The following is a 20,717-nucleotide window of genomic DNA, read 5'->3' as shown; positions in this document are numbered from 1 at the left end:
ATGTACCAAGTACTGTGCTAAGTACTCGATCTACATCACATAATTTAATCCTTATGATAATCATGTGAGCTGAAGATTAATAATTTACCAAAGGTCATACAGCTGGTCAGTGGCTGACAGAGCCTAAATGTGAATTTAGGATTGTCTGAGGCCAAAGTCAAACCTAGAAGTGGGCATTGTAAACTGCTGGCATCTTGCAGCAGACAATGAGAAGGGCAGTCCAACAGAAGGATCAGCATGTGCAACAGCCTGGAGGAATGAAAGAGAAGTTCACTTCAGAGAACTAGTTCACCAAGGCCCAACATGCCAGAGGGAAAATGGAGAATGATGAGGCCTTAGAAGTTAGAGCCAGCTCGCAAAGAGCCTCGAAACACTATGCTGAAGAAACCTGGACTCAATCCTGTGGACAGTGAAAAGTTTCTGAGGGTTTTATACAAATGGCAACACGGTAATAGCTAACATTTATAAAGCACTTACCATTGGCTAGGCCTCATAATAAGAGCCTGCATGAATTATCTCACTCAATCCTGACAAAGACCCAATGAAATAGTATTATTTTATTCCCACTTTTCAGATGAGGTAATTATCATTTGGAGGGGTTCAGTAATGTGCTCAAGATCATAGACTGGCCTGGGACAGAAGCTTGGCTCTATGTGACTCCAGAGCCCATGCTTTTAACTAGGACCAAGAGAATTAACCCCACGTCCCTGAAGCACCTATATCAGATTACAATGAGTCACTTTCTCTGCCTCTAGAATGGCACTAGTTGCACAGTGAGCTATGATATGATTGCACCACTGCATTCCAGCCTAGGTGACAGTAAGAACCTGTCCCTAAAAAAGAAAAATTAAAAATTTTTTTGAGTTAACAGCCATATTGAGGTACTGTGCCAAGTACTCTATCTACATCAGATAGTTTAATCCTTATGATAATCCTGTGAGTTAAAGGTTTGCTCACAAGAGGAAGATTGACATTGCTTTTCTGCTTTTCAGCAACTGTGTATTGCTGTATCTGGGGCTCCAGAGCATGGGGCTCTAGAGTCACATAGAGCCAAGCTTCTGTCCCTGGCCAGTCTGTGACCTTGAGCATATTAGTGAACCCCTCCAAATGATAGTTACCTCATCTGAAAAGTGGGAATAAAATAATACTATTTCATTCTTGGGAGAAATGAGAAAATGGCCAGACCCTGAAATCCCCTTCTGTGTTGTGTGGTTCAGACAAGGGCTGCACTACCCTATGTTGTCTCGCGATCTGCACTCTAGGTGCCTGTGGGAGCAGGAACTGGGGCACGGGTTCACCAGCAAGAGTAGTTAGAAACAATTCTGCTCTCTGATAAGAAAATAACAGGAGGCAGACTGAGGTCTAGCCCAGGGCCTGGCACATGGTAGGGGCTCAATAAATAGTTTGTGGAAGGGAAGGAAGGACCATGCGGTTGAAGAAGAGATTAAGAAGTGTTTCAGAGGTGAAACGACTAGCCTTGGGGACAGAGGAGATGAGATAAGGTGTATGGTAGAAAATTCAGCATTCCCTCCCGACGTTCTGTCTCATTCTCTGAAATTTCTTCTCCATCACGCACTTCAGGCTGCGATAACGAGGTGGAGTGTAGAATCCGACGAACGTCCTCTACCCCGGGGCGGGTGGAGGTTACCTGGCTGCGGCGGGGAGGTGGGCAGGCGGCAGGGAAGGCGGGGCAGCAGGGCGGGGCCCGGGGCGGGAGGTGTGGCCGGCGGGCGCGGGCCTGTGATTGGGACTCCGCGAGAGGGCCTAGGATTGGAGGGCCCAGGCAGAGCCCGCGAGGAGGTGACGCGGCTGCGGAGGTGACGCGGGAGGTCGCGCGCCCCTTCCGGCGCGGGGAGGGCGCTGAAGATCGGGGCCGCTCGGCCGCAGGCCGCCTCCAGCGCCGCGGGATGTAGCGCGGGGGACCGCGGCCCCCAGCAGAGCCCGCCTGCCCGGCTGTAAGTCTCCCAGGGGCTGCGCGGTGGGCAGGGACTCGGCGGGAGCGCGGGGACCCCGGGGGCCCCGACCCAGGCCTGCGGAGGAGACAGCTGTTGGGGGAACCCGCTCCGACTTGCCAGGGGGCTCGGGCCCCAGCCAAGGAGCCGCCTGGCCTCCAGGCATCCAGCCGGTCAGGTTGTAAACATTTCCGGCCCCTCCCACTGCGCGCCGCCTCCGAGGCGGCCTAGGTGCGGTGGGCGCTCGTCCCCGGCTGTCCCCCGACTCCCGGCAGTCCTGTGAGTGCTGCGCCTTTAGCCCCACGGGGTGGAGATGCATGGGTTCCCCAGATCGGGACCAGAGAGCCAGAGTTAAGCCTGGCCCCGAGGCCGCCGCGCGTGGGGAGGGAGGGCTGCGGGCCTAGGTCGCGAACCGCCTCTCAGCGGGGAACAGCCGCATTGGGTTGCCAGGAAGCCCTAAGGTTCCTCCACCAACAATCTTTGGCAGGTCAAGTCCTGACAGTGCCCTCACTTTGATGGGGTGGGAAGGGAGGTTGGTGATCGCTCTGCAGGGTTAAGGTAATCCTGAAGGCTGAAATGCGGGGCAGAATCGAAGGTACTTTGGGGGAAAATGAAATTTCATTACCTTAGGTATCTAGGATTGATGTATTCTATCTTCTGTTTGAGAATTTTGGTCTTCAAGCCTTCGATTTTTAAGAAAATAGATAAGTGTTTTTTTTCCCTCAGTTTCTGGTGCTCTTTGGGAGAATGGGAAACTGACAAGGCCAATTTCAGTTTACACCGTTTCAGATGTCAAAGGAGCGCTAGGAGGCCATGGTACTTTACTAGATTAACCATAGTACTTCCCTCAAGTGATTCAGAAGACGGGCTAGAAAATACAGCGGAGAATACATAGGCTGCCATCTACAAAACAAATGATTGTAATGGCTGGTTCTTTTCTGAAATGAAGTAATAGTGGGGTCGGTTCACTGCTTTTCTCTTTTCCTAGTAGTTGGGTAGGCTACGATGGTGCAACTTCGGTTCCTGAGGTTGTATACTATCTGTATACTGCCAGGAATTTAGGGTGGTGCTAAACAGATTGCAATGTCAGGGTACCGGCTTGCAGCTACTAAATGTATTTACTCCAGGAATAACTTTTATGTACCCATATTGTGATTTGCACTTGGGAAATCAGTCATAAAAACTGATGTTACCTGTGAAGGCCCATGTTATGGTAGACCTCCGCAAAACTATACCTAATTGTAGAGTAGAAACTGAAAGCTTTCTATTCTCAATGGTCAAGACTTTGCCTGCAGGTAGGAGAGAATCTCAGAAAAATAACAGGGAGCAACATTAATCCACTGATCCCCATTGCTGATTTATAAAGTACACCACCTTAAGTAGGCTTTTAGGCTATTTTCAGTTTTTTAAGTCTGGCCTCATTTTACCTTTCCAGGACTCTATGGAAAAATGAATTGTTTACTGCCCTGGGGACTGTGTTCTTTCATGGCATGTTCACACCATATACCCTCCTGGAATGCCCTGTTTCCATCTCTATCTATCAATCTCCTGTCATAAAATCTTCCACAAAACTTTTTCTGATCACTTCAACTAAAGTTGCACTTTTCTTTTGAATTCCTCCTGCACATAATGGCACTAAGCCTTGTAGTGATATTAGGAAAGTTATTTCCCCCATTTAGAGGCCAACAACCATTTCAACCCTCTGACTCCTCTTTGCCTTGTCTCTGTGGCCACAACACCATGCGTATTGTAAGTAATCAATCGGTATTCTCAGATTAATGAAGGTTAGAAATTGCCCTTCTTTCTAGGCCAGTGTATTTGTTCTCTATTCCCATAGGAAATTTCCTTTGACTTCTAATACAAAGCCAAACTGAAACCCTTTAACACTCCTGCTACATTATCCTGTCCCATCTACTTATTATCACACAGGTAAGATAAGCAGTCGTCTTTATATCTAGACGCTTTGTGAATTATGGTGAGTTTTTTTTCTTGGACCAGTACTCATCAACGTTGTTATGTCCATTTGTCCCTAATGTCACCTCCTGGATTTTGTTCCTCTCACCATGCTAAAAGTTGATTCCCATTTTCCTGCTCAGAAATGTTGGGGGCATAGGCCGGGCACAGTGGCTCATGCCTCTAATCCCAACACTTTGGGAGGCTGAGGCGAGTGGATCACCTGAGGTCAGGAGTTCGAGACCAACCTGGTCAACATGGCAAAACCCTGTCTCTACTAAAAATACAAAAATTATCCGGATGTGGTGGCAGGTGCCTGTAATCCCAGCTACTTGGGAGGCTGAGGCAAGAGAATTGCTTGAACCTGGAAGGCGGAGGTTGCAGTGAGCAGATCATGCCACTGCACTCCACCCTGGGGGATAGAGCAAGGCCCTTGTCTCCAAAAATAAAAGTGGGGGCTGGCATTGGCTGGGCACGGTGGCTCACACCTGTAATCCCAGCACTTTGGGAGGCTGATGCAGGAGAATTGCTTGAGTCCAGGAGTATAGGCTGCAGTAAGCTATGATCGTGCCACACACTCTAGCCTGGGCCTGGAACTGGCTGAACTTGGGAGCAAGACCCTGACTCCAAAAAGAAAAAATGGGCTGGCATTAAAATCCTTCATATGCCTGTATACTGTTCACTTTTTTTTTTGTCATGACATTAGCAAAGTTTGCCTGTCTGTCAGGGCTCAAAAACACCTCTTCAGCCAGGCACAGTGGCTCATACCTGTAATCCCAGCACTTTGGGATGCCAAGGCTGGGCAACATAGTGAGACCTTGTCTCTACAAAAAAATAAAATTAGCTGGGCATGGTGGCACATGCCTGTAGTCCCGGTTACTAAGACTTGGGAAGCTAAGGTGGGAGGATCGCTTGAGTCTGGCACATTGAGGCTACAGTGAGCTGAGATCACACCACTGCACTCCAGCCTGAATGACAGAGCAAGACCCTTTTAAAAAAAAAAAAAGACTTCTGTTGGGGAAGAGCTACAAAGGAAGTCAGACTGTTTTTCCACTTCAGAGTCTGGGACGCTTGGCATCGAGTAGGAGAGCTGAGGCCCTATATACTGTAGTTCGGTGATTTCAAACATGTGCCTTTGCTTTGATTCATATTTCTCCAACAAAGCTGTGAAATTATCCTGCCTAAGAGACAGTAGATAGGGGAAAAATGGCTGTATTCTTTATCTATACTGCTAGACTGGTCTTGCTTTAGGACAAGAATCAAGCTAGGTATGGATAGAGGCTACCCATAGACTCTCTAAAGGCCCAGGAACTAAACTCTTAGAAACTTTGTGTCTTTGCCTCCAGGAAAGGTGTGCCGTAGCCTGGAAAACTTGGGAATTGGTTCACAATATAAATGTCTCCAAAAACTATAAGTGAAATAACTCTCCAGCTAACTGGCTGGTGATTAAAAATCAATCTTTTCCCCATGTTTGGCACAGGATTATCTTATTTATAGGAGTACAAACAACCTCCCTGCTCCACAGCTTTACTCTCTAATATCCTAGGTTTACCCAGTTGGAAAGCTTAGTGGTAAAGGTTTATTAGCTTGAGTTGAAGAAATCTCATCAAAAATGCACTCAGTCGAGTTTGGCTCAAATATAATTTGCAGTATTGGGTGTGGCAAGCTTGAGGGGAAAGGCATTTCCTCTAAAATACGTAAGGACATAGAAAGCTGGCAGAAGGTTGGCTCACCTAGGATCGTTCTAACACCTTAGGGGTTTGTTCTGATTTTACACCATAGACTAAAACACACTTGTAATTCTCCATTGTTTGTGAGTGATCCACCCCATAGAAGTGGTATTTTCAGATCCTAGTATTATTTGCTCTTCTTTCTTGCCAGACGTCCGATCCCTATCTCTCCCTTTCCTGTCTCTGTGTTACTACAGTTTAGAAGACCAAACTGGACAATGGACTTTGCTCACTATGATGACATGATCTCCATTGACCTCCATTGTATGTACTTTAATGCATGATGATATATTTTGTATGATGAGTTGTAGCTGATGGCTGGTTTGTGAGTTAACTGGGGTCTCAGGTTTTGGTGACTCTGGGTCTAGAAGATGTAGAGAGGTGGTATAGGAGCTAGTGATAGAGGAGCTAGAGGGAATCGGAAGAACTAATAGTAAATGATTTGGACTGAAAAAGGAAAAGACTTTGATGATAGCCAGAAGACTTGAGGGCATAAAAACTTTTCAGATCAAATGATGAAATTAGTAAGAATGCCAATCTGGATTCTGCACATGATCTTTGGACCCTAATTGCCCAACTTAAATTTTCTCTATATTATTCTCATTGCCTCTAGTAAAATAGTTACATAGCACTCAAAGTTACTAAATTTAGTGTGTGACCATTCTAGTTGAGGGGTTCTCTCCCTCCACTGCCCTCCTGGAGCAATCAAATTGTATCACTTATTTTTGTGCATATCACAAACTACCTATGTTATCTGGCTCTTTGAAAACAATACTATAACTTGTTCAACTTGTATTTTGCACAGTGTCTTGTATTTTGCACAGTGTCTTAGAATGCCTTAGGGTGCTAGTCCTAAATACACTTGCTAAATATTCAATGAATGTGTTGACTTACTCTGGGGAAAGGGATAAGAGAAGCCACCACAAGCACAAGAAAATGCACATAAGCCCTTATCTAAGTGGCTAGAAGCTAAGTCATATGCTGGCAAGCTGGAATCTGCCCCATTCATTCATTCATTTTGAAATGGGTTCTAACTAAAATAAAGTATATTTATTATTTTATGATCCATGTATTGCATCTCAGAACCAGAATTTTGTTTTGTTTTGTTTTGTTTCTGCCCTGGTAGCCTGATCTAAGTTACTTCCAACAGTAACTTAGTAAGTAACAAGCTAAGTGTGCCCCTCTTTTCAGATTTATCTAAGATGCCCAAAAATATTTATGTTTTTTGCTTGTGATATAAAGTTGTTTTTTGGTTTTTTTTTTTTTGCTTGCGATATAAAGTATTTTTTAGTAAAGCTGCTGATTCAGTAGTACTTCACTTTGAGGAAATATGTTTTGAGGTCAGCCTATTGAGAAAGATTTCCTTGTGTCCCTCTCACACGGGTTGCCCATCCTCGAGGTTTTCATAGGCTTCCAGCTTCCTGTTCTCCTTAGCTCAATTGTTCACTATGACTGTGTGCTGGCATCTCGTCAGAGTCTTGCACATTTAAAGGAAGAGGAACTGTCTATGTGTTGACACCATATAAAGGTCTGCTGTATAGCAAGTTATTGTTTTTGTCTCTCTTGGACTAGATTGCCGGTTGCTTTCAACTGTGCTTGTGGGTTGAGCATAGCATGACTCATGACTGTTTAGAAGCTTGAGGATTGCCCTTACCTGATGTGTTAGTAAGTGTTCTCCAGAAAGCACCAATAGGATACATACATATGGATAGAGATGGGATTTATTCGGGGAATTGGCTCATGAGATTATGGAGGCTAAGTCCCACACTATGCCATCTCAAGCTAGACAATGAGGAAAGTCCATAACTGGTTCAGTTTAAGGCTGAAGGCCTGAGAACCCAAGGGGCTATTGGTGCACGTCCCGGAATCCCAAGGCAGGAGAACCTGGAGTTTCTGATGTCCAAGGGCAGGAAAAGAAGGGTGTCCCAGCTCCAGGAGGGAAGGAGGGGGAGAGACAGAGAGAGTTAGGGAGTCAGAGAAAGAGATTTATAATCCCTGAGAAGGAATTGTGATTACTCTTAGATAAAAAAGAACTGACACAAGATATCAAAGATATTTGTATATAGTGAATAGCCATGGATGATATAGTGTCTCCCTCAGGAGCAAAGTTATGTTTACTGCCCAATATAAAAGATTGGGGCTCCCTAAGCTTAAGTTTCCTCTCCCGGAATGCAACCCACTCCATGTGCAGTTGTTACCTGGCCCTCCCTGCATTGCAATGTGGTTATTTGGGTTTGGGTGGGGCTTGGGTAACCAATGCAAGAAAATGCTAATATTCTGGCTACTGCTATTGCTATAACTAATAAAGTCCTTTGTATGGGGGTAGAGGTGGGGAGAGAACTAATAATTTACAGCATAGTGGAAATCTTTGGAAACTTTCTCCCTCTTTCCCTCTTTTTTTATTTGCATTTCCCTGAGGCCTGTTTAAAGACTACTGTGAAAATCCAACCCAGGAAAACCTAAAGTGTCTGAGATTTTTCCTAGAAAATGGAATTCTGGGTTTTTCTGATTTTGTGTGTGCCTGTCTCTAGTTTCTGAAATACTCATTTGAGTAGGGCTTAGATTATGGGTTGTGGTGGTTGAAACAAGTTATTGTGGAGCTGGTTATTAGGTATGTGTGTGGCAAAGGGTAAATTGGGGCTGCCTCCTTGTCTTCACCTTCCTGCTTCCAGGTAAGTTCTTGCTTGCTTGCAGGACAGATTGTGATGAAAGCTTGTTATCCCAGGGTTGAACTCAGGCTATAATCCTGTAATAGAATTAGTAGACTTCGCAGAGAAATTAACCACTAGGCATCTGTCCCACAACCAAGTTCCTTTTGTATGTATGACACATTTATCAGAGCATTTGTAGATAAGGTCTAACTGAGTTCAGTTGGCATTTAATTCATTTCTAAGCCTGGATGATCTTGTAGTAATTGCAGCCAGATGTTGGCTTTATATTTTTATTCCTCGGTCTCAGAGCTAGGCCTTTCTTGGGCAGAGTGAGCTTTGGGAGTGATAGATGAGATTCTTCTCACTAAATGGTTCCATACCTGTGGGAGGGAGTTGAGGGTGGGTAGCTGTTTTTCTATGGTGACAGTTTGGTGCAGTAACCATAGATCATATGAAAGCAAGCAACTAGGTGTTACATTTTCAGCCTTACCTATAAGATTAGTGAGGTTCTGGGTAAAGGTTGACATTAAAGAGGGAGGACAGGAATAGATTTCATTTAAGCAATTAACTGGCCTTTAGAATTGGGGACAGGATATGAGTTGATTAGCTTCTTATTCAGTATTAGAGTATAGAAATGAAACTGTAAGAGGAATAAATTGTCAATCCTTCATGTTTGTATTTTCTTTTAGTGTCTACCATCAGAGGGAGATCTCTGCCCCCTGGGGCTGAGAGACCCCAACCTTTCCCCAAGCTGAAGCTGCAGGGTATTGAGGTACCAGCCAGATGTCTTCCCACAAAGGATCTGTGGTGGCACAGGGGAATGGGGCTCCTGCCAGTAACAGGGAAGCTGACACGGTGGAACTGGCTGAACTGGGACCCCTGCTAGAAGAGAAGGGCAAACGGGTAATCGCCAACCCACCCAAAGTAAGTCATCTTCCCAGGAGTCATCCCCTTGTTCAGTTTCTCTCCTTAGAACTCTGTCATTTTCTCTTTTTTAAGAGCTCACCGTCCAAAAGGAGGAACATTGCATCCTGGAAATGTCTCTATCCAAGTCCCTATGATACTGTTATAAACATCTTGTTGTCTGCTTTCCCCATTGTAAGCTTTTGGGAATGCACTCATCTTTGTAACACCAGTGCTTAGCACAAGGCCTGCAGTCCAATAAATAATCAGTAAATATCTGAATGAATGAAGGAAGCAGTCAATTAGGATTAGGTTTGACTTCATATAACACACAAAAATCCTTACAGTTTTGACAGGACAGAAGTCTCTCAAGCAAAAGAATTTCAGAAGTAACCAATCCAGGGCTGATATGGAGGATCCACCACTGTCAGGCACCTGTGTTGCTCTCCCATCACTCTTAATATGTGCCCATCATACCCACATTCTACCCCCCATGAAAGGGAAACGAGAAGAAAGGCCCTCTCTTTCCCTTTTATTTTTATTGAGATAAGATCTCGCCATGTTGCCTAGGCTGATCTTAAACTCCTAGGCTCAAGTGATCCTCCTGCCTCAGCCTCCCAAAGTGTTGGAATTACAGGTATGAGCCACTGTGCCCGGCCAACTCTTTGCCTTTTAAAGGGACTATCAGGGCCGGGCACGGTGGCTCACACCTGTAATCCCAACACTTTGAGAGGCCGAGGCAGGTGGATCACCTGAGATCAGGAGTTCGAGACCAGCCTGGCCAACATAGTGAAGCCCCCTCTCTACTAAAAACACAAAAATTAGCTGGGTGTGGTGGCAGTCGCCTGTAATCCCAGCTACTCGGGAGGCTGAGGCAGGAGAATCGCTTGAATCTGGGAGGCAGAGGTTGCAGTGAGCCGAGATCGTGCCATTGCACTCCAGCCTGGGCAACGAGTGAAACCCCCTCTCAGAAAAAACAAAAATAAATAAAGGGACTATCAGGAAGTACCTCATAAGACTTCGGCCAGAACTTACTTACATAACTATATTCAGCTGCAGTGGAGGTTAGAAAGTGCAGCCTGAGTAAAATTGCAGTAACATTGCCACCCTGAACAAAACCGTGGGCTTTGTTACTTAGGAAGAGAGAGAATGGATGTTAGGGTAGACTGGCTGGAAGCTGTAGCACAAAATCTAAGATGGACCATGTGTTTACTAGTGACCATCAGCAACAGGAGAGAAATAGCCCAGAAAAGGAGTTGAACTGCCAGGCTTTCTATAGCCATGATTCGGAGCCTTGGGATAGAGAGAGAGAAAGTTCTCTCCCTTTCACAGGCAAGTGCTCTCCTGGGTGTGTTTTTTTTTTTTTTTTTTGGAGACAGAGTCTCGCTGTCGCCCTGGCTGGAGTGCAGTGGCACGTTCTCGGCTCACTGCAGGCTCCGCCCTCCAGGGTTCATGCCATTCTCCTGCCTCAGCCTCCCGAGTAGCTGGGACTACAGGTGCCCGCCACCTCGCCCGGCTAATTTTTTGTATTTTTAGTAGAGACAGGGTTTCACCGTGTTAGCCAGGATGGTCTCGATCTCCTGACCTCGTGATCCGCCCGCCTCGGCCTCCCAAAGTGCTGGGATTACAGGCGTGAGCCACCGCGCCCGGCCCTCTGGGTGCGCTTTTTTAGGCCCTGGAGTCAGTACCGCTGTTTTCCATGGAACCAGTTCTGAGGCCCTGGTACTCCTGGGAGCTGCTGTAGATACAAAGTTTCAATCATGACAGCATCCCTAGAGTCAGTGAACAGGGAACTCTGAACAGAATTATTGTTATGGAACTCTCTGAGACTCTGTGTCTTTTTCGTTGTTTTGAAAACGTAGGCTGGGCATGGTGGCTCAGCCTGTAATCCCAGCACTTTGGGAGGCCGAGGCAGGAGGATCACGTGAGGTCAGGAGATTGAGAACAGCCTGGCCAACATGGTGAAACCCCATCTCTACTAAAAATACAAAAATTAGTCAGGCATGGTGGTGGGCGCCTGTAATCCCAGCTACTTGGAGGCCGAGGCATGAGAATTGCTTGAACCCGGGAGGCGGAGGTTGCAGTGAACAGAGATCGCACCACTGTACTCCAGCCTGGGTGACAGAGGGATATTCCATTTCAAAAAAAAAAAAAGAAAGAAAGAAAATGTAATGGCTTAGAAAAGAGAACTCTTTGGGAAACTGAGGAAAGTTAAGAACCACTATCCTAAAGAAAAGGATGTCATTCAGTACCTAGAGCTGGTGTATTCCCCCAATGCTAGTCTCTGTGACAGTCCTTCTTTTACGCACTGCATAGAATGTTCACTCCAGCATTTACGAAGTATTAATAAATTTCTAACTAGTGTTGTAAACTCAGTGTGTATGCTTTTGGAGAAGAGACCACAAGACCCTCTGTAGGAAAGAGGCTGGGCAGAAGGCATTAGGTTTGGGTTTTTCTGGGTCTCTCTGCTCTGGAATAGTACAATTTATGAGATGACTCCCTGGATTGTTGTGGGTTTTTTCCCCCATAGGCTGAAGAAGAGCAAACATGCCCAGTGCCCCAGGAAGAAGAGGAGGAGGTGCGGGTACTGACACTTCCCCTGCAAGCCCACCACGCCATGGAGAAGATGGAAGAGTTTGTGTACAAGGTATGGCCTATGAGCTTCTGTCCTGGAAGGGGAAGGGCAGCAGGCCTGTCTGGGATGTCCCCAGCCAGCAAGCTTGCACTGGGTCGAAGAGCTTTTATTCCTGGGAAGGAGTGGATTTGTTTTTTGGTTAAGATGAGGTAAATCAATGTGAAGACTGGCTAAATTTTTACTGCCTACTCTGTGAGGCATTGTTCAAAATATATTCTTAAAACGGATTCTTTTCTATGCAAGGGGCGCCTTTGGAAGTCATCAAAATATTTCAATATGACAGTAATATGAATGCCTTTGTTAACACATTAAATATACATGAATGATGAGCACTAATGTATTTTATTAAAATTTGTAATTTCTAAGTAATGATGAATAGAAACAGTATTTTGAGATACCTGCAGAACTAATGTGTGAGAGTATCTGATTTCTATTGGTGACAAAGCCACAAGTTCTACTAATACTGTGGTTTGTTGCTTATGCTTATAATTGAGGAAAATGCTCAATTTACTTAGAGGTAAATGGAAATACAATTTTTTCCATCTATTCCCTGGATCCTGTCCATAGTGCATGGATCCTAGATTAAGAACCCCTACTCTAAAAAGATGTGGTAAGAACTTAGAATCTAATTGGGGGAGGGATGAGACATGAGATAGAATCTCCTGGAGAGGGGCAAAGGAGGGATCTGTACGTTTTTTAAAACAACGTTTATAATTTTTTTGTTTTTATTCAGTATATCAATTTTGAAATTTCAAGTAGCCTAAAGGAGGTTGTACCATATATATATATATATTTTTTTGAGACAGAGTTTTGCTCTTGTCTCCCAGCTGCAGTGGCACGATCTCAGCTCACTGCAACCTCTGCCTGCCAGGTTCAAGCACTTCTCCTGCCTCAGCCTCCCGAGTAGCTGGGATTACAGGCATGTGCCACCACGCCTGGCTTATTTTTGTATTTTTAGTAGAGACGGGGTTTCTCCATGTTGGTCAGGCTAGTCTCGAACTCCCAACCTCAGGTGATCCGCCCGCCTCAGCCTCCCAAAGTGCTGGGATTACAGGCGTGAACCACTGCGCCCAGCCTGGTTGGACCATATTTTCTTAAAAGGTTGAGAAACACTTACCTAAAACTTCTCCAGATAAACTAACATGAAACAAAGACAAAGAGATTTTTTGTTTGTTTGTTTTTGTTTTTTTGTTTTTTTTGAATACAGAGTCTTGCTCGGTCGCCCAGGCTGGAGTGCAGTGGTGCAATCTCGGCTCACTGCAACCCCCGCCCGCCAGGTTCAAACCATTCTCCTGCCTCAGCCTCCTGAGTAGCTGGGATTACAGGTGCCCGCCACCATGCCCGGCCAATTTTTTGTGTTTTTAGTAGAGACAGGGTTTCACCATGTTAGTCAGGCAGGTCTTGAACTCCTGACCTCAGGTGATCCACCTGCCTCAGCCTCCCAAAGTGCTAAGATTACAGGCATGAGCCGCTACACTCAGCCAGGATTTTTTTTTTTTTTTTAATGGTCAAAATATGAGTCAGGACTCTGCTAGCCCCATTCATGCTATGTCTTGGATATCCCCCAGTCCAGGCTGGTTCTCCACTATTACCTAGGACCATTCAGAGCCTGACTGACATCTTCTTAGACTAGTTCTCCATCACTGCTTGTCCTTGGGGAAGGTACTATCTAGTGCCCTACCCAGAGAAAGTGTATATGTTCTAGGTCTGGGAGGGACGTTGGAGGGTCATCCCATATGATGTGCTCCCTGACTGGCTAAAGGACAACGACTATCTGCTACATGGTCATAGACCTCCCATGCCCTCCTTTCGGGCTTGCTTCAAGAGCATCTTCCGCATTCATACAGAAACTGGCAACATCTGGACCCATCTGCTTGGTGAGTGATTTGGATGGGGAAAGGTGGAATTTGTTGTCTCCCTAACTGCGAAGGGATTATAGAGCCCAACAAAGTTGTTCAGATCGATTGGCAGCTGGGATTCTACCTTTAAACTACTAATGACTTTAAGCTAATAACCTTGGTTGACCCTTGATCACTGATCTTTAAGACTGAGAGTAAAAGGCCTAGAAACCAAAGAAATTGGGACTAGATATTTTTTTGTGATCCCTGGCAGAACTGTTCTAGGTGGAGACAATTCCTTGTACTTCGTAATTTCCAACTGTAAAAGTAAAATGCCAACATTTCAAAAAATGGTCTTTTTTGTCTGGGTTTCTGTGACCAGTGCCACTTTCTTTGAAACATTGGACTGCAATTACACAGCTAAACCTCATAGCTTTCTGATTTTTTTTTTATTTCAATAGCTCTTGGGTTACAAAGGGGTGGGGGGGGGTTTGGTTACATGGATGAATTATATACTGGTGAATTCTGAGATTTTAATGCACCCATCACCTTAGTAGTGTACATTGTACTCAATATGTAGTTTTTCTGTCTCACACCCCTATCTCCCCCTCCCGCTTCTAAGTCTCCATAGTCCATTATATCATTCTATATGCCTTTGCGTACTCATAGCTTAGCTCCCACTTATAAGTGAGAACATATACAGTATTTGATTTTTCATTCCTAAGTTACTTCACTTAGAATAGTGGCCTTCAGCTTCATCCAGGTTGCTGCAAAAGACATTATTGCATTCCTTTTTATGGCTGAGTAGTATTCCATGGTGTACATACACCACATTTCCTTTATTCACTCATTGGTCAATGGACACTTAGGTTGGTTCCATATCTTTAGAGTTGTGAATTGTGCTACAATAAACATACATGTGCATGTGTCTTTTTCATATGACTGCTTTTCCTTTGGGTAGACACCTGGTAGTGGGATTGGTGGATCAAATAGTAGCTCTACTTTTAGTTCTTTAAGGAATCTCTATACCCTTTTCCATAGAGGTTATACTAGTTTATAATTTACATTCCCACAAGGAGTGTATAAGCATTCCCCTTTTACCATATCCATGCCAACATCTGTTGTTTTTTGACTTTTTAATAATGGCCTTTCTTGCAGAAGTAAGGTGGTATTTCATTGTGCTTTTAATTTGTATTTCCCTGATGATTAGTGATGTTGCCTGTAGCTCTCTGATTCAAAAACATCAACCATCAAAGTGTACACATTCCCTTTTTTCTTACAGGTTTTTTTTATTTTACCCTCCTGCAGGTTTCGTGCTGTTTCTCTTTTTGGGAATCTTGACCATGCTCAGACCAAATATGTACTTCATGGCCCCTCTACAGGAGAAGGTGGTTTTTGGGATGTTCTTTTTGGGTGCAGTGCTCTGCCTCAGCTTCTCCTGGCTCTTTCACACCGTCTATTGTCATTCAGAGAAAGTCTCTCGGACTTTTTCCAAGTGAGTTAAAAGAACACCATAGGAAAATACTGTGCACTGTTGTCACATCTTGAGATCCCAGTGCTTACTGGGTGATAGGAGCTCATATCACTCCTAAAGGTTTCTTGATATGCCAGAGGAAAGGCTCTCTGTTCTGTGGCGATAGTGGGGTGATGAAGCTTTTCTCTTAAACACTTCATGAACAGACTTACTGCATCCTCTTCAACAGATGGAGAGACCAATTGTGGAATATATTTTCTACCTGAAAAGCACTATCTTTTGTGAGGCTTAGAGTGCCAGTGCACTGGCTGCTTTCCAAGACCTTGTACAAGCGTAACTTACTATTAGCCCAAGCCAAAGTAGGGTGTGGTAAATAGTCTATGCTTCATTCTGCTGGTGCTCCTACCCAGCAGTCAAGTAAAGCTTATCTTTGCTGCCCATGCATTGCTGGAAGCTCCAGATGTCCATCATCGTGTGCTTTCTCTCTTGCCCAGCCGTGAGCCTGAGGTTCTATTTGTTTGCTTGTTTTTGTTGTTATTGTTGGTTTTGGTGGCGACAGTGGTGTATTATTTTGTTTTTTCTAACAACACCAGTAAGAAGGTACATTTTCCTCATTTAAAAAGTCAACTAAGATAGAAAAAGCTAGAGTATCCCTTAATACTACTCCCAATTTAAGAATTTTGTTTTTAGAACTCATTCTATCAGAATAGGAGAATTTTCAAAGCCTTTCCTGAGTGTGATGCTGGGAACCAGCTGGATTGTGATGGAATTTCTAAATTCAAGTGTCTACTATGGGAGATACGGCTGTTCACTAGTAAGGGAAAGGGATAGAGTTCTTTGAATGGGGATTCTTAGAGATTTTTCCATCGTAAAATAGAAGTGACCTTGTGGAATTTTAATCCAGAATACAGGATAGATTGTATGGGAGTCTACAATACAGGATAGATTGAGGGAATGGTTAAATCTGGGAGCAGGTGGAGAACAGAAAGAGCTAGTTAAATGAGCCATACAAATTCATTTCCCCCACTGATTTGTTTCATTTTTGTGGTTCTTTTTAGACTGGACTATTCAGGGATTGCTCTTCTAATTATGGGGAGCTTTGTCCCCTGGCTCTATTATTCCTTCTACTGCTCCCCACAGCCACGGCTCATCTACCTCTCCATCGTCTGTGTCCTGGGCATTTCTGCCATCATTGTGGCGCAGTGGGACCGGTTTGCCACTCCTAAGCACCGGCAGACAAGAGCAGGTAGGTCGGAAGATGTACGTACACCTCAGAGGTATTTAGACCTTAGGCCTGATAGGCTCAAACCTATTTGAGCCTTAAGGTTTGCAGCTTGAGAACCCCACCCAAACCCTGATTTGTGTTTCAGAACTTTCAAAACAGCATCAATTTCAAAGCTCAGTTCTCAACCCCCAGTGTCATACTATTTCAGTAGAATGCCAATAGGACAGATCATTACCCAGCTGGTCAATTAACTGCAAGCACAGATGTAGCTACTCTTATACTTGGTTTGTGACAGTTTAAAAATGTAGCAAGCACAGTAATTTTAGTGACCCGAGTCCCAAGCTCAGACCAAGGGATTAAAATTAAAACACTCAGAGGCATTTTACTAAGGGAATGGAATACCTGGTTTGGTGAATGAAAATACCTTGAGCATAAACAGGTAACAAAGTAATAGCTACAAGCATAAACATCTTTGTGTTGTCTCATCTCATCTGGACTCTTATTTTAAGCTTTTATTACTTGCAGCAACACCACCAATTACCACTAGTCTTTAGTCCCTTTACAATTAATATCTGCTATGTTTTAACCTTCAGTTAAAATAATTAAATATTGTCCGGGAGCAGTGGCTCACGCCTGTAATCCCAGCACTTTGGGGGGCCGAGGCAGGCGGATCACTTGAAGTCAGGAGTTTGAGACCAGCCTGGCCGACATGGTAAAACCCTGTTTTTATTTAAAATATAAAAATTAGTCGGCGTTGTGGCAGGTGCCTGTAATTCCAGCTACTTGAGAGGCTGAGGCGGGAGAATCACTTGAACCTGGTCGGGGGCAGAGGTTGTAGTGAGCCAAGATCACGCCACTGCACTCCAGCCTGGGCAACAAAGCAAGACTCTATCTCAAAAAAAAAAAAGAAAGAAAGAAAGAAAAGAAAAAAATAATAATAATTAAATATTTATCAAGCACCAGCCACGTGCCATGCACTGTGCTTAAACAAAGGTATTTACAAAGATGGAGAGGTGGTCCCTGCCCTTCAGTTATGTGTAGTGTAATGATGAGACACATACCCATTCTTCCCTTGCTCTTGCCTTACTTGTGTGTCCCAGCAGCTACAGGATAACTGCTAATCTGGGTATATCTGTCTACTCAGGAGGTCAGAGTTCTGGTTATGTAAGACTTTTATGATCTTAACAGGAAGCCTATCCTATGCTTCTCTGACTTGGGAGGCAACTGAAGCCTTGACATCTAAGTTCTGTACCCAAGTTAGCCATCAGAGAGTCTTGACATACCATTTTTACCTAAATTCCTTAACAGATAATGAAGAATATGAGATCTTTGTTCTTGGTGCTTAAAAGGTAGTAAGCACTTACACAGCTTCTTCCCATTCAGGACATAGAAGAAATATCTGTTGAGTGTTATCCATCTTGTAGCTAAGTTTCCTAAACATGTACTATTCATCCAAAAATAGCTAATTATCATAAACATTGAAATTCCAGAGTAAGACAGCAGTGCCTTCCATGCGGTGGCTGTTTCCTTGTTTGACAGTCTTATGTCTGTTCTGTTCAGGCGTGTTCCTGGGACTTGGCTTGAGTGGCGTCGTGCCCACCATGCACTTTACTATCGCTGAGGGCTTTGTCAAGGCCACCACAGTGGGCCAGATGGGCTGGTTCTTCCTCATGGCTGTGATGTACATCACTGGAGCTGGCCTTTATGCTGCTCGAATTCCTGAGCGCTTCTTTCCTGGAAAATTTGACATATGGGTAAGAAATGAATCTTCCAGCAGGTCCTGTGATGGTGAGTGAACAGCCCAAAGTTAAAGGGCTGAGGAAAAGGTGGTATGAGACTGGGATCATATAGTGTTTGGAGGTACATATATGTGCATTGAAGGTAAATCATCAATATTAACATTTTGGTGTATCTCTGACAAGGACTGTGTTTTTAAAACTTTCTAAATATACCACTTTAATGTTATTAACAAATTTGTTTAATTAAGGATAAACTAGAAGAAGCAAATGCTTTCTCCTACTTGTTTCTTATTCCTCCTTGCATTATCCTAAAGGCTCTTTTCTTTTTATTCCTACAGTTCCAGTCTCATCAGATTTTCCATGTCCTGGTGGTGGCAGCAGCCTTTGTCCACTTCTATGGAGTCTCCAACCTTCAGGAATTCCGTTACGGCCTAGAAGGCGGCTGTACTGATGACACCCTTCTCTGAGCCTTCCCACCTGCGGGGTGGAGGAGGAACTTCCCAAGTGCTTTTAAAAATAACTTCTTTGCTGAAGTGAGAGGAAGAGTCTGAGTTGTCTGTTTCTAGAAGAAACCTCTTAGAGAATTCAGTACCAACCAAGCTTCAGCCCACTTTCACACCCACTGGGCAATAAACTTTCCATTTCCATTCTCCTAGCTGGGGATGGGGCATGGTCAAACTTAGCCATCCCCTCCTCAGCAAGGCATCTACCGGCCCCTCACAGAGACAGTACTTTGAAACTCATGTTGAGATTTTACCCTCTCCTCCAACCATTTTGGGAAAATTATGGACTGGGACTCTTCAGAAATTCTGTCTTTTCTTCTGGAAGAAAATGTCCCTCCCTTACCCCCATCCTTAACTTTGTATCCTGGCTTATAACAGGCCATCCATTTTTGTAGCACACTTTTCAAAAACAATTATATACCCTGGTCCCATCTTTCTAGGGCCTGGATCTGCTTATAGAGCAGGAAGAATAAAGCCACCAACTTTTACCTAGCCCGGCTAATCATGGAAGTGTGTCCAGGCTTCAAGTAACTTGAGTTTTAATTTTTTTTTTTTCTTGGCAGAGTAATGTAAAATTTAAATGGGGAAAGATATTTAATATTTAATACTAAGCTTTAAAAAGAAACCTGCTATCATTGCTATGTATCTTGATGCAAAGACTATGATGTTAATAAAAGAAAGTACAGAAGACACTTGGCATTCAAAGATTTCACATGTATGGTCTTGATTATTTGCACACAACTCCAAAACATTAAGTAAGACCTGTGATAATTTCAGATTCTCCTGAGGCACAAATTTGAATCATAGGCATTGACAGGCTGGCACATGCAGGCCAATAAATGGACCTAATTGAATTCCTAGCATCCATTCCCCAATACAGCTTTACTTTTTTATGTAATTGTTGCATGGATTATCTTTTTACATTTTTAAATTTTTTTTTTTCATAGAGCCATTTGAAAAGAACAGACCATCTTGTTAGAGAAATCAGTATGCTATAGTAGTGTTCAATAATTAGGAGATTCTCAGGGCTGGGTGCAGTGGCTCACGCCTGTAATCCCAACGCTTTGGGAGTCTGAGGCGGGTGGATTGCTTGAGGCCAGGAGTTTGAGACCAGCCTGGCCAACATGGTGAAACCCCCATCTCTACTAAAAATACAAAAATTAGCCTCGTGGTGGTGGGCGCCTATAATCCCAGCTACTCGGGAGGGTAAGGCACGAGAATCACTTGAACCCGGGAGGTGGAGGTTGCAGTGAGCTGGGATCACACCACTGCACTCTGGCCTGGGCAACAGAGCAAGACTGTCTCAAAAAATAATAGACTGGATGCAGTGGCTCACGCCTTTAATCCAAGCACTTTGGGAGGCTGAGGTGGGTGGATTATGAGGTCAGGAGTTCAAGACCAGCCTGGCCAAGATGGTGAAACCCCATCTCTACTAAAAATACAAAAATTAGCCGGGCATGGTGGCGGGCAGGTATAATCCCAGCTACTTGTTGCTTGAACCCAGTAGGTGGACGTTGCAGTGAGCCAAGATCATGCTGCTGCATTCCAGCCTGGGAGACAGAGCGATACTCCACCTCAAAAAAAAAAAAAAAAAAGTATAGTAATAATAATTAGAAGATTATCAAAAGTGTTGGAATACATCCCAAAGTTTAGGGATATATCCCATGTTGCCTAAGGTTGTCTCATCCAGGGGTCATTCCATGCTTTTCGGTGCTATTGTGAATTGTACTCAACCTGACATGAGTTCTGTTCATTATATAGCGCAAGATATCAGTAATCACTTCTCAGCTAATGCAGGCAGTTTAAGGGCAGTCTTTTTGAGTTAAAGTTGGGTTCATGTCAAGAGTCAAGTTTCTACAATGGAAGAACAAATTATCCTTTTAAAAAAATAATCCACCTACACCAACAGGAAAAGTTTCTCTGCCTCAAGTAACCAAGGAAATGTAAATTAAAACCAAAATGATAATCTGTCTTACTCCAACCAGACTGAAACCAAATTAGAAGCCTAATATTGAGTGTTGGTGCAGATGTAGAGCAGACCAGATGCTGCTGGTGGAAGTATACATTGCAGGACCACTTTACATGGACACACAAAGAGTGTATACATGTTGACA

At 44.1% G+C, this 20,717-nt stretch overlaps 1 protein-coding gene across 6 annotated transcripts, besides 3 other annotated features; it reads left to right on the top strand.

The window, feature by feature from the left end:
- Positions 1,250-1,299: a silencer, noted in NCBI's record as "silent region_1711". NCBI's record gives its function as "represses an Ori minimal core promoter by ATAC-STARR-seq in GM12878 lymphoblastoid cells {active_cell/tissue: GM12878}" and the evidence as "EXISTENCE:reporter gene assay evidence [ECO:0000049][PMID:35858748]".
- Positions 1,568-19,315, top strand: ADIPOR1 (adiponectin receptor 1). 6 transcript variants are annotated; one of them, NM_001290629.1, is made up of 9 exons: positions 1,568-1,665; positions 5,833-5,899; positions 8,976-9,210; positions 11,720-11,836; positions 13,530-13,701; positions 14,971-15,157; positions 16,195-16,382; positions 17,922-18,115; positions 18,439-19,315. In NM_001290629.1, exons 3-9 carry the CDS (start codon positions 9,070-9,072, stop codon positions 18,565-18,567), a joined length of 1,128 nt encoding a protein of 375 aa, NP_001277558.1. In that variant the 5' UTR covers positions 1,568-1,665; positions 5,833-5,899; positions 8,976-9,069; the 3' UTR covers positions 18,568-19,315. The 6 variants fall into 6 exon arrangements, with proteins under 6 accessions (NP_001277558.1, NP_001277486.1, NP_057083.2 ...); NM_001290557.1 differs by lacking the exon at positions 1,568-1,665 and adding an exon at positions 1,744-1,955; XM_047421959.1 differs by lacking the exon at positions 1,568-1,665 and adding an exon at positions 2,156-3,881.
- Positions 1,600-2,159: a silencer, noted in NCBI's record as "silent region_1710". NCBI's record gives its function as "represses an Ori minimal core promoter by ATAC-STARR-seq in GM12878 lymphoblastoid cells {active_cell/tissue: GM12878}" and the evidence as "EXISTENCE:reporter gene assay evidence [ECO:0000049][PMID:35858748]".
- Positions 15,385-15,679: an enhancer, noted in NCBI's record as "tiled region #11793; K562 Activating DNase matched - State 1:Tss". NCBI's record gives its function as "activates a minimal TATA promoter and a strong SV40 promoter by Sharpr-MPRA in K562 cells {active_cell/tissue: K562}" and the evidence as "EXISTENCE:reporter gene assay evidence [ECO:0000049][PMID:27701403]".

The sequence above is a fragment of the Homo sapiens genome, chromosome 1 (assembly GCF_000001405.40).
Source record: "Homo sapiens chromosome 1, GRCh38.p14 Primary Assembly".
NCBI lineage: Eukaryota > Metazoa > Chordata > Mammalia > Primates > Hominidae > Homo > Homo sapiens.
Note: the sequence above shows the minus strand (reverse complement) of the source record. Positions and strands in the feature narration are given on the sequence as shown.

Bases quoted from the DNA above. Each gene is read 5' to 3' on its own strand.
- ADIPOR1 (NM_001290629.1), top strand. From the start codon at position 9,070: ATGTCTTCCCACAAAGGATCTGTGGTGGCACAGGGGAATGGGGCTCCT. The intron at 16,383-17,921 runs GTAGGTCGGAAG...TGTTCTGTTCAG, and splicing joins GCACCGGCAGACAAGAGCAG to GCGTGTTCCTGGGACTTGGC. The intron at 18,116-18,438 runs GTAAGAAATGAA...TTATTCCTACAG, and splicing joins CTGGAAAATTTGACATATGG to TTCCAGTCTCATCAGATTTT.